The sequence below is a fragment of the Homo sapiens genome, chromosome 12, assembly GCF_000001405.40.
Source record: "Homo sapiens chromosome 12, GRCh38.p14 Primary Assembly".
In the NCBI taxonomy this organism is placed as follows: Eukaryota; Metazoa; Chordata; class Mammalia; order Primates; family Hominidae; genus Homo; species Homo sapiens.
In genome coordinates, this window is record NC_000012.12 from 53934386 (window position 1) to 53947300 (window position 12915).

At 50.3% G+C, this 12915-nt stretch overlaps 1 protein-coding gene and 1 long non-coding RNA gene across 2 annotated transcripts; one reads left to right on the forward strand and one right to left on the reverse strand.

Moving 5' to 3' along the window:
• Nucleotides 943–5258, reverse strand: HOXC13-AS (HOXC13 antisense RNA). Its single transcript, NR_047507.1, has 3 exons — nucleotides 5086–5258; nucleotides 2780–2972; nucleotides 943–1984 (listed from the first exon to the last, which is right to left on the reverse strand). It is a non-coding gene; the product is annotated as an HOXC13 antisense RNA (long non-coding RNA).
• HOXC13 (homeobox C13) lies at nucleotides 4446–12159 on the forward strand. The gene is made up of 2 exons (NM_017410.3): nucleotides 4446–5257; nucleotides 10615–12159. The coding sequence occupies exons 1-2, from the start codon at nucleotides 4522–4524 to the stop codon at nucleotides 10869–10871; spliced, it is 993 nt and encodes a 330-aa protein (NP_059106.2). The 5' UTR covers nucleotides 4446–4521; the 3' UTR covers nucleotides 10872–12159.

Below are 12915 nucleotides of genomic sequence, written 5' to 3' on the forward strand. Positions count from 1 at the left end.
ATCCAGGAGCCTGGGAGGAGGCATCCATGTCTGCAGGGTCCATGGCTGCAGGGACGAAGGGACCTCCTGGAGCCCAGAGAAGTGGAGGGAACGGAAAAAGGAGGGGAGGGTATTGGGCAGGTCCAGGGAGCTGCAGGATCAGCCAGTTTTCTTTCCTTCTCTACCAATATCACCCTCTGCAGCCCATCAGGAATTTTCTCCAAGCATGTGGGAGGGTCTTCCCACACTGACACACCCTCAAGGGTATACCCCCTCATATGCCCTTTCTGAACCCCCAATCCCTTCCTATAAGTGGCCTCTCTCAAACATCCCTTTCTTGGCTAGCTCAGGCCCTGTCTTCCTCTATCCTCCACAAATCTCCTCTTCCATCGGCAGCCTGAACCTTGGACAGGAAAGGGCCCCCAAACCCTTTGCCTGCCCTATAAGGCCCCAAGTCTGGGCCAGAATCCAGACCCCATGGTGGTGAGGCTCTTTGTTCTCCTACAGCCTCAACCCACCCCCACCTTTTTTAAAACTGGAATTTCTCCCATTAAAAGCGGGTTGGGGGAGCAGGAGCTTCAGCGCTTTAAGCTCCCCCCCGCCCCCCGCCCATATGGAGGAAACAGAGAAAAGGGCTGCAGGGAGAGAAATCATCTGACACCTAATTTTCAGAGGAGAAAATCTGGGCATTGAATAAGGGACACAGAAACGCCATTTCTTTCATCCTTTTCCCTAGCCTAGCATTGAAGCTACACCCAGCCCTCAAATGTGTGCATCAGGCTTGCACCCTCCGCTTGCAAATGTTGCTAAGTTACACCTCTGACTTCGTCTTAGATACAGTGGGGCATGAATTCCACCCCTCGACTTCAAAAAGACACAGACATCTGCTTCTTCATTTTTCTATATTTTCCTGGGGGATGTCTTTGTAAGTAGCGTAGGAAGAACATGTAAATTAAAAGTGTATACAGACAGACAAGCAGAGACCTTTATTTGCATACAGAGGATTTAGGCAGAGAGCTGGGTATCTTTAGGAACTCATTTGGGCTGTGTCCACAAGGCCGTGTGCTGAAACGGTGCAGGCAGCCTGCACCCATCCCTAAACTCACAGGCACGCAAGCGCACGCGCACACGCACATACACAGACGCTTCCCGTGAAAAAGCATATTAAATATCTCCTTTCTGTGTTGGATCATTTAAAAGAAAACATTTCAGAGTTGAACTTAGCCGAGAGCTTGGTTCATGAGCTGTAGCTGAGGGCAGAGTGGCTTCTGCCGCTCCGCGGTTGTAGAAGTCCCTTTGAAAAAGCAGCCGAGAGCAGAGCCGGGGCTTCCCGACGAGGCTGAGGAGCCGTTTTCCATTTTCCTTTCGTATAATTAAATGCTCCGTCTTTCTCCGCATACCAGCAGCTGGATTTTCTCTAAACTTCATCCACAGTCAAACCTCACTGCCTCATCCCCGAAGGCCGGCGGGGCGCGCCCGGGTGAGCACCGCAGCCGAGGGTTTCAGCGCCAGGCCCTGGAAAGGCTTTCTAGGGCGAGATCGCCTTGGAGATGTAATTACTACGTTTCTAGTGGTGCATATTCTCCTGGAGTGTTTAATTTGATTTTACTTGTGTCTCAGCGAGATCCACATTTTTTTTTCGGGGGAGGGGGAAGAAACCACCCCAGGCTTAAAGTTAATTAACCAGCAAGGCTTTACTTTCCACCGCCCTCCTGCAGGCTCTTGCCTCGGCGCCTCCCTTCCCGATCCCGGCTCGCCCCAGACTTGGAGACTGCGTTTGCAGGCGCGAAAGGTCTTGGGGAACCAAGCAAAAGAAGAGGGAATTGTTCAGAGCAAGCGGACTTCCCCAGCCGCCTTTAGCGCCCTTAGCCCAAACTTTCCCCTCCAGCCTTCCCACTCCTCCAAGTCGCTTTAGGGGCCTACAACTTCGGCTGGTCTTCTTGAGGAAGAGGACTATGGTTCCCTTTCTTTCTTCTCGCCACTAAATTTTGGCCGCATAGTGCTCCTAATAAATGGAATTGTAAAGTTGCCGGATTAATTAAATCTATATCTCATTGCAATAGGAATAGTTAATGCCCTCATATAAACCTGGAAAAGACCATACTATTAATTTTATTTATTGCTTGGCCGCCCTGCACCCAGATCCTTCACGCCGTTCTGGTTCCCACTCCCGCCATTCTGGTTCCTACTCCCAAAGGCTGGGGACGTGTCTTTGAGTCCTGGCCCGCGGAAAACGGGTCCGGCGTTGGGCCTGACCGGGGAGGGAGCCCCAAGAATGGGGTGGGCGTTTCAGGCCCTTTGTTTCTCCTGGCAGCCCTGCAGAACCCTGTCCACAGCGCCCCACTACTTCCACCTGGGAGCAGCACTTCACAGAAGGGGAGGCCAGGATCTGGGTTCCACTTCTACTACCCGCGGCTGGAAAAAGGCAGGCGTCTCCACCCACCCACCCCCACCAGCCAGGCCTTAGGCAAGGGGGCCAACGTCATACAACCCAGTCTAGACTTGGCCAGGCCCTGTTTGCTCTCCTCGTTTTACCTTGACCTTGGACTCCAGCAGCAGGATAAGCAGTTTCCTAGCAGAGCCGGCTCCCAGCAAGACCCTATCTTCCACTGGGCTCATCTCTCCCCGCCCCTCCCTCATTGCCCTCAATGCACACTCGAGCTGGTCTCCTTATGTCTTAACTCTCTTTCTGTTGTATTTTTCCTCCTAATGCCAGCCCAGCCCGCAGCCTGCTTTCTGAACTCTGAGCTGACCCTTCTGGATGAAGATCACGCAGATAAGAATTACTATCCTAACTCACCGATGTCCGGGTGCTCTCAACCGTCAAACACCACCTTCTCCCCACAAAGAGGAGGGAGGTGGCCCGAAGGGGTTTCTGCAGACCTGTCCATTTGCTCTCCACTTGAGGGGTGCAGTAGGTCTGGCTGAGCGAGGCGCTGCTCTGTGGCCATGGTCTGTGCGCTGGCTGCACACGAGCACTCAGCATTTAAAACCTGTGGCAGAGGGAGGAAAGAAGGAAACGCTGCAGCCCCTTTCCCCTCTTATTTTTCTCTCTTCATTACGATTTCTCAGGGAGGTCCTGTGCTGAAAGGGAACTTGACTCAATTCCACGGAGATGCTCCCTTAGAAAGGGGTGACTCTATTGAGGCTCCTGACAAGTTGGGAGATTGGGAGGAAAGAAGGGAGAGCTTTTGAAGAATCAGTAAGTTGGTGTTAATTTTTTCTTTGAAATAGGGGGCAGTTTTAGATCATGAAACTATTCCTCACTAAAAGAGGGTGACCTAAGAAAGCCGTGGGAGCTCCATTGCGGGTATTCAAACTGGGGACTGTGTCATGTGGCTTAACCCAGGCCCCTGAGGGCAGAGGTGGGTTCTGCAGGGTCCCCCAGAGTGGCGCCAGAGAGAGGTCCCTCCAAAGGTGTAGCACTGAATCTCCCCCATTTTCCACGTTTTCTTTTGTATACCTATAGAAAGCGCGCTCTCCTTCGCATCCAGGGCTTTTAGCTTTCCCAGGCTGAATCTTGCGCCCCCACCACCCGCATTTCTTTGAAAAACCTCACTCTGAGATTTTTTATTTCTATTACATATTGAAATATCAGTCTATTCTATTGCTTTTATTTCCCTCGTTTTATTCTTTCTCCATTTATTGCCGAGTATATTCCATTGCCTCTCGATCCCCTGCCCCAGGTGATGAATTCTGTATTTGGGGGTTGTCACACCCCTCTCCGCTTGAGAAAAATCCAGCGAGGTAAAGCAGAGTGTCCTTTTCAGACATCTAGAGTTTTGGGGAATGTGGCTGAAGGTAGGAAATGGAAACACAATCCCGGCATCAAAGGCTCGCTACGCAGCATCGGGTTCTTTCCAGCCGCGAGCGGAGGCGAGCTGCCAGGGCCAGAGCGCTCCTGACTGTTTTCTATTATCTTCATTTATTATTTTTTAAAACCTGGTTTCTTCCCCACCCTTAGCTTCAAGCCCCAATCCAGAGACTTCAGCAGTCACAGTGATCGGCTTGGCGGTAGGGGGTCTGTCTCTCCGGTGCACATCCTATGCCTAGGCGGAGGCGCCCAGTTACAGCGCTCTCCTCCCTACACCCCTTTGCGTCGGCCAAATTCAGCCTCCCCCCCCTCCCTCTCCCTCCCTGGGGCCTGCCGGGGGCGTCTCCCTGTCCCTTTAAATCTCCCAGCTCCCGCCTCCTTTGGCCTACCTGAGATCCAATCAGCACAGACTTTTTCCCTTTCGCCCCGCCCCACCTCGAGGGGAGGGAACCCCAGGAGACCTGGCCGGGGCATCACGTGCGCAGAGCGGGTCACGTGGGCGCGGGAGGGGTGCTGAGAGGTGGAGAGCGGGAGCCGGCGGATTTCTTAATGAAGTGTCTCCGCATGCGTAGAGGGAATGTAGGGAGGGAGGTGGAAGCACTAGGAGGAGGGGAGGGGTGGAGAGAAAAGAGGGGAGGGATGGGGGGAGGGGAAACAGGAGCGAGGTGTCTCCCTAGCTCGCTGCCTCTGGCAAGTGGAGTTTTTAAAAAGCTCCAGCAGATCATGTCATGACGACTTCGCTGCTCCTGCATCCACGCTGGCCGGAGAGCCTTATGTACGTCTATGAGGACAGCGCGGCGGAGAGCGGCATCGGCGGCGGCGGCGGAGGAGGAGGCGGCGGCACGGGCGGAGCGGGGGGTGGCTGCAGCGGAGCGAGCCCCGGCAAAGCCCCGAGCATGGATGGTCTGGGCAGCAGCTGCCCGGCCAGCCACTGCCGCGACCTGCTTCCGCACCCCGTGCTGGGCCGCCCGCCGGCTCCCCTGGGCGCCCCTCAGGGCGCCGTCTATACGGACATCCCGGCCCCGGAGGCGGCGCGCCAGTGTGCCCCGCCGCCCGCACCCCCCACCTCGTCCAGCGCCACCCTGGGCTACGGCTACCCCTTCGGGGGCAGCTACTACGGCTGCCGCCTGTCGCACAACGTGAACCTGCAGCAGAAGCCTTGCGCCTACCACCCGGGCGATAAATACCCGGAGCCGTCGGGCGCCCTGCCCGGTGACGACCTGTCCTCTAGGGCCAAGGAGTTCGCCTTCTACCCCAGCTTCGCCAGCTCCTACCAGGCGATGCCCGGCTACCTGGACGTGTCGGTGGTGCCCGGGATCAGCGGGCACCCGGAGCCGCGTCACGACGCCCTCATCCCCGTCGAAGGCTACCAGCACTGGGCTCTCTCCAATGGCTGGGACAGTCAGGTGTACTGCTCCAAGGAGCAGTCGCAGTCCGCCCACCTCTGGAAGTCTCCCTTCCCAGGTAAGGAAGGGACCCGAGCGCCGCCGCCGCCGGGGACCCCTCCCCGCCCTGCCTGCCCCGGGGCTCCGCGCCCCAACCACCCCCGCCGTCTGGCCCCGGCGCGCCCGCTCGGCTGGGCTGCCTATGGAGCCGGCCGGGCGAGCTGCACTGAGGAATGCGCCGGGGAAGAAATCTGCTCCGACACGTTCTCTGTAGCTGCCCGGCCGAGAATGAAGCAATCACAGGCGCCCGAAAGCCGGGCCGCCGGCTCTGCTCTGTCCGGTAGCTCGCCTCCGCCTCCCCTTGCAGGCTCCAGCCTCCCGCCGGGCTCTTGGCCCCTAAACCTGCTTCCGGCAAGGGATGGGGGCGGGGTGGGCCTATAGTGCCTTGGAATCCAGGACAAAACCCCCAACCCACCGAATAACTGGGGAGGGCGGAGAATAAGAACCCCCACTTTCTTTGACAGAATTCGCAGGATCGTTCAGGCACTAGACAGTATTTTTTAAATAGGGGACTAATTTGCTGGGGTCTACAGAAATGTGAGATTTATTTTTTTCCTTTCCTGACTTATTTTAAAAATCTGGCCACGAATTTCCTGATTGTTGAGGGAACAGAAGATCCAAAATCTCTGGAGAGGGAGTGGAGAGGAGGCTAGAATCCCTCCCCAGCATTGTAAAGTTTTCCTTGCCTCTTTGGTATATTGAGCTCAAACCTATAGACATTTCCACTGCCAACTCCCCCATATGTGGTCGAGAAAGAGAGTTAGTTATTGGTGCCCCAGACACAGAAAGAAGGGCGTGGGGATGAGAAATGGGAGAGGAAGACCTGTTCAAGACCTGTTCAGGGGCTTCTGGAGTCCAGACCCAGGCTGGGGACCCCTTGGTCTTGTCTGGCTAAGGATGGGAAGGGAGAATTCATTCCCCTCTTGTTCCGTCTCCAGTTGAAGAGAGAAAGGCTCCTGTAAATCCCACCGCTCTCCTTGCGGACAAGACCAGTCCCAGGTTTCCCAAAACCACACCAAGAGCTTTGGATCCTGCCTTGTGCTGAGAAATCAGGATTCCGGTCTAGGGAGTCCAGCATTTGAGTCTGTTCTCCCTGTAAGCAGAGCTCAGTGGGAGAGCGTTCTCCCTTCTGATACCTACAGAGGTCTTTGGGGGTGGGGGGCCCAGGGCAGCCACAGATGTCTCCCGACAGTGCCCAGCTCCCCGACCAGCTCCACGTGCCAAGCTCAGGGATGTTTTCCTTGGAAAGCATAGACCCAAAGACCTCCTAAGGGTGGGCCTGAAATTCCTCTGCATACGGAATTGGAAGAAGAGGTAGGTGGTTTAAAAAAAAATACTGAGTGATATTAGAGAGTGTAGCAAATAACATTCTTGTGAATATTATGAAATTACTTAGTATAACACAACTCAATACCAGGGTATGACCTACACTAGGCACCCTGACTTCTGATTGCCAGAATTAAGGATGGTGCAATTTTAGTACATGGTATTATGCATCACCTACCCTGTATTGGCTGTAATATTTTTATATAATATGATTTCTTTTATTAACTACCTAATATGAAATATACAATAATAGATTTCTAGAAAGACAATTCACATGTTCATAATACAGCAATGTATTTTAGAGAGATGGCCCTTTAATTCTCTATCTCACCAAAACACAAAGCTTCTTAGGAGATTGGGGTCCAGCAGGAATTCCTGGGGCAGGGAAGCCAATGGGCTATGCCAAGGGGCTAAGGGGTAAGGGATCAGGTGCCCACCAAACCCACTGTGGATTGGGGGCACAGGCCCAGAGCAATGTGCAATGGGTTTAGTGTGAAGAGGTAGAAGAGAAGGAGCTGTTCTATGTATGAATGTGGTGTGGAGTAGGGGTGAAGGATTGGAGAGAAGCTGAGAAATATCTTTGAGCAAAATAAACATCTCAAAGATTCCTAGGACACAAAACAAAACAAAACAAAACAAAACAAAACTCCACTAAAAATAAATACTTTTTTGATCACAGCCTCCTAGAGAAAAATATCTTTGAAATAAAAAAAGTATATCCCAATTGAGATTTAATACACTTGCAAATTATGGCATGGAAATGGATATAAAACCTAGCATGCCTCAGCAGCTATGTGCTCCCACAATCCCCGTGTGGAAATAGAATTGGGCTGATGTATCTCAGTGAGTGCAGAGGTACAGACAAGAGGCAGACGAATAAGAAATTATCTTCAGACACTCTCCATCTTTCTACCCACTCAGAGATCTTTTAGAAGTAGTGAGATTTCAAGATAACTCTGTCTGTGCAATTGTGGTTTGTTCGGCAACATGTAGGCATAAACACTGCTGTCTCTCTACAGTGCCTCTGGCTCTGAGAATCCTCATCTGTGGTAGTCTGGGCTGGTGTGGGAGATGGAGGCAATTGTTCAGCAAGATCCAGATAATTAGGGCCAAGATGTGTCGTGGCTTCTTCCTTCTCCCAATTATACAGACTCTTGCTTTATTGCTCTGGTTTTTTTTTTTTTCTCCCTACGGTGAGTGTAGACTTTTTTTTTTTTTTTTTTTTTTTTTTTTTTTTTTTTTGAGAGAGAGAGAGAAGCAGAAATTCCAGGAGAGAATCAGAAAGGGAGAAAAAGAGAGATGGGGTTTAGGAGAGAGAAAGAGGGAGAAAGAAACAGTGGGCTATTTGGACCACACTAGAAGTCTTTACTGACAAGCCTTTGGATTTGGGTTGGGAAGAGTAGCAAGCTGGATTTCTAGCTGGACAAGGCACTCTTCAGAGCCCAGAGCTTGCCTGTGGGGGGGCGGGTGGTCAAGGGTGGGTGGGCTGTGGGGAGCTGAACAGAGGGGCCCCGAAGCCCAAAAAGAAAGCCATGGCTGAGCATTGAGATGATTTTTATTTACTCCTCAAAGGTGTCTATTAGGTTTCCAGGCATGAAGTCATTCGTGTATGTGATCTGGAGGGAGACTAGGGAAGGGGTGATTGTAAGATTAATAACTAAGCCCCCACTCACTTTAGGCAGTGTACGCACATCTCCAGGTCCAAGCTACCAGATGTTTCTTCATCTCTACATACCATTTCCTTTCCAGATAAGGCAGCAGACAAAGAAAGGGGGCTTCTTTGAGAAGGCAAGACTGGAGTTATTTCCCCAGGAGGCCAAACCAACCTGCAGTTGGTCTGATCCAGGACAAATTGGCTAAATCAATCCTTGGCATCCTATAGAGAAAAATAACCAGTTTAAACCAGTTGTCTACTTTTTAAACTGATTTTTTTTAGGGTTGATTAAATCTCATTGGAAATTTAGAGCTAGAATTTAGGAAACCAAAATTGGATAGGTAATTGTGAGAGTTTAAAGAGAGTAAAGTAAAAAATTAGGGACAATTATCTGGCTAATTCAGAAACAAAAACCCACCTTTACCCTACTGTATTCTTCTCCAGGGAAAAGGAGGTGTTTTAAAGCTGGATTGTATTAGCTGGCCTATTTCCATTTTAAAACTTACTGTATCATTTTAAGAGTCAGAAAGTCTGGCTTTAAAATCTGGTTCTGCCACTTAAGTTATTTTACCCACTCTGAGCCTCAGATTCCTAATCTTGTAAAATGAGTTTAACAAAATAATCCTGAAAAAATGTTCTGAGGATTAAAAACAACAATAACAACAACAAAAGCAACAAACTCATGGTATCACTACATATCCTCTTCATTCTATTCTTGTCAACAAATCGTCAATTTCCCAAATCATGGTTACCTCTGTAAGAGTAAAACAAATTTGAGAACTGAGAGATTTAAAGATAATGGTCGTGTTCAAAAACAAATCCTTTTTAACCTAAAGGATCCATACTGTTTAAATAAAGTTATTTTGTTTTTTAGATTTTTTTAAATCATAGTTTATTCTCACAGAGGCAGAGAAAAATGCCAGGTCCAACAGTTTTCCTGAGAAATTGTCACCAGAAGACAGTCAAATGAGGCCATTGGACCCCGTCTCCCATTTTCTTCCTGAGCATTTTGTTTTCCCCTGTGTCTCACTGTGACCACTACTCTTCCCATTGTGTATAGAGTCCATGAGAGAAAGCAGACCCAATGGGGATGGGTACAGGGAAAGTGTTCTGTGAGGGTGGGATGGGAACAAACATTTCAGAAAGAACTTTGTGTCTTCCCTCTGGGCTGTGTCTATAGTTTCAAAATGTGGTAGGAATGAAGGGGAAACCCCAAATATTCAGCCCTCCTCATTAGCTTTCACCTAAAGTCTAATAATTACATGGAAAAAATTGAGGGCTGAGCTATCCAGATAATCTCCCTAGTTCCCCCACTTCCCCTTGAAAGTGTTGCGTGACCTTTATTGACAGGGATGAGGGTGGAGTAGAAAATGGAGTTAGAAGTGATATATATTGGTTTTAGTTTCTGTGAAATTCTCAGAGCCTAAAGAAACAGAACTGGTAATATTGGTTTGGATGACAGGCATCTAGGGTTTAGGGTTATGGTTGGTGCAAGGGATGTAGACAGTTTCCTTCAGCTGTGAAGGAATGGAGAGGGAAGGCGGTTGGAACAGAATTTGTTCTGTTTTGGTGGGACTGCAGTGTGGACCCCCTACTTCCAGAGACACCTGATTCCCTATATCTCAGGTTCAGGACCCCCCACCTTGGGTGTTAGGTGGTTCATAACATTGGACCCCAATTCCTAGAGTGTGGACCTCCAAGCAGGCTGGCTTCACCTGGACACTTATCTTCTATCTGTGCCTCACATCCCTAACGTAGGGCCAGTGTCCAAAGGCGTGAAGACTCATCTGGTGGTCTGGGCCCACTGAAGCTGACCCCCTGCCTGCCATGCCCTCCCTGAAATATACAACAGAATGTCTTCCTCTGGCAACGGGGCAGAATATAAACTAATAAGGACCCAAGCGATCTAACTGCAGGAAGGAGGGATTTTTCTGAATATCTGAAATTCTGCAAGCATGGCAGGCCAGGCTGGAATTTGGAGGGTCCCTTCTAAATATACAAGGATCCTAATATTGAGTGCTGTGAAGAGCCATATTGGGGCCTGAAACAAAAGAAAATCAGTAATACCGAACCCATGTTTATTTTTTTAATTGATATTTTGTTCATCATGGATGTTTTTGTATTCGTTTTGCTTTTTTAAACATTGCATTAAAATATCGTCTTGATTACTGAGTTTTTGGCGCCCCCTCCCTTAAACTTCGAGCCCAGTGGCCTCATCATAGTTGTGGTCTTGCTAAAATAACAGAAATGAAAAGCATTAGGGAGCTTCACTATGCAGTGCAATCCTCTGGCCCCGTTGAGCCCCTGCCAGAACTCTGTGCCTAGGCAGCCTCGGGTCCTCTATCTCAGTCCAGCCGCTTGCCTCACTTCTTCCCGCTTGCCTTATCTCCCCGCAGACGTGGTTCCCCTGCAGCCCGAGGTGAGCAGCTACCGGCGCGGGCGCAAGAAACGCGTGCCCTACACTAAGGTGCAGCTGAAGGAGCTAGAGAAGGAATACGCGGCTAGCAAGTTCATCACCAAAGAGAAGCGCCGGCGCATCTCCGCCACCACGAACCTCTCTGAGCGCCAGGTAACCATCTGGTTCCAGAACCGGCGGGTCAAAGAGAAGAAGGTGGTCAGCAAATCGAAAGCGCCTCATCTCCACTCCACCTGACCACCCACCCGCTGCTTGCCCCATCTATTTATGTCTCCGCTTTGTACCATAACCGAACCCACGGAAAGACGCTGCGCGGGTGCAGAAGAGTATTTAATGTTAAGGAAAGAGAAGAACCGCGCCGCCCGGAGGCAGAGAGGCTCCATGGCCGTGCTGCTGGGCCATCCCCAACTCCCTATCCCATCCCCAGCCTCCACCCCCATCCAGATGGGACTCACGTGGCTTCAACAGCTTTGGAAATGGGTCCCGAGTGGGCCGTGCGAGGAAGGCTGTCGACCTCTACTCCTCCTTGCGCTCACCTTGCCAGAAAGTCTGGTGGCAGCGCAGAGCCCAATCATTCCAACCAAAGCAGGGTTGGGGAATCCCGAATGGCCCCAATTCTTGCCTCATCCTATGACCAGGCTTTTAGAGGACCTTCCCTAAGGGCGCAGCTTCGGAGCAGGATCTGTCCAGCTCATACTTTCCTTCGCTGTCCCTCCCGCACTCCTTAGGCAAGATTTCCCAGTAAAGATTTTCTGTGCGTATTTTAAAAGTCGTGTTAATACTCATGATAATTATTAGGGACCTGGCAGCGTGATTGGAGTATGGATGTTTCCGTAAAAGCTGGAATTCCGTAAAAGCATTGACGCAGCCCCTACACTCCATCCCAACCAAGAAACTGCATTTCCTGGGGCCAGGTGGGAGCTGCCTTTGCCCCACTGCCTCCCCTGTTCTGCTCTCTCAGTCAACATGTGGAAATCCAAGGAGGACAAAGACTCCAGCCACGCTGCTAAATAGGGCTCCTCTCTCCTCTCTCTCTCTCTAGGTGGTAAGGTTGGGGATTAGTCCAGGTACAGAAGCAGAACTTTTTTCTAAGGATAAACATCTCTTCCAAGGGGATGGAGAGTGGGTCCCTCAACAAAGTCCCTGTCCAGTCACCTTTCCATCAGGGCACTAGCCCAGGAATGACTCCTCACACTTTCACCTTTACTGATTTCCAGAGGAAAGCTAGAGGATCTAGTTCAAGAGGCAAGAAGATCTGGCCCTCAATTAGCTAGATGTAGATGCTGCCTAACAGTTCCCTCCTCAAAGGCCACCTTGGTGCTGTGGGGGCCCCTTGCCTCTTCCCTTCCCACTGGTGCATTACAAAACAGTGTTCTTTTGAAATGTTCATCAGGAATAGGCTTTTTTAAAAAATGTTGTGTATCTGTATATAGTATTGTGATGTCTGAATGACAATGTACTGAATGCAAAAAGGAAAAAAACCCACAAACATGTTTTTAAAATAAAATATCTTTTTTTGCCTTGATTTTATTGCTCAGATTCTTTCTGAAGTCTATTCTGTCCACTGGCTCTTCAGGACAGTCTACTATGCCCTGACTCAGCCAGAATGATCAGGGGGAGGAGTATAGACATTGCTCCCAGCTGGGTAGATTCCAAACCCTTGTTTTGCTCCACTTAAGTTTTTGGGTTATCTATACTATCTATATAGGAGAAAACTTTCCATCCTGATGTCCAACTCAGATGAGTGTTTGTTGAGGAAGGAAAGACGTAATTGGTGACTGAAAGGCCTGGAGGCAGTGACAAAAATACATTGATGGTTACTTCGGTTAATAATTGGGGCTCAGATCTGGTTCTGGGTACTGAGAAAGTAGCATCCCAGCTGGGAACTGGATGAGGTAAATGCGGCAGCCGGTGGCAGTGAGGAATTAACCTTAGGCTCCTGGTGCTCTATTGCCCCAGAGGGCCCCGAATACCTTCAGCCAGTTCAGGACTGGAGTTGGGGCTGGGATGGGGTCAGCACAGCCTGCCAGGGGCAGCCTGAAGCTCAGCTTTTCCTGGCTGCACTTTTTTCTTCCCCCCACTTAACCTATGTAGAGAGGCTGAGCTGCTAGGACCCCTTTGGCCCCCAGTTTGCCAAACCAATCCCACTTTTACTCTCTGTATTCCTGGGAACCCCAGTCTTCTAGGCAATGAGGAGCCTATGTAGATGCTGCCACTAATTTGTTTTCCTGGTCGCATCAGTGCCTATCTCCCTATCTGGCAGAGTTAATGAGATCATTAA

Coding starts and splice junctions, on each gene's coding strand:
- HOXC13 (NM_017410.3), top strand. CDS start 4,522: ATGACGACTTCGCTGCTCCTGCATCCACGCTGGCCGGAGAGCCTTATG. Junction 5,258..10,614: donor CTGGAAGTCTCCCTTCCCAG/GTAAGGAAGGGA, acceptor ATCTCCCCGCAG/ACGTGGTTCCCCTGCAGCCC.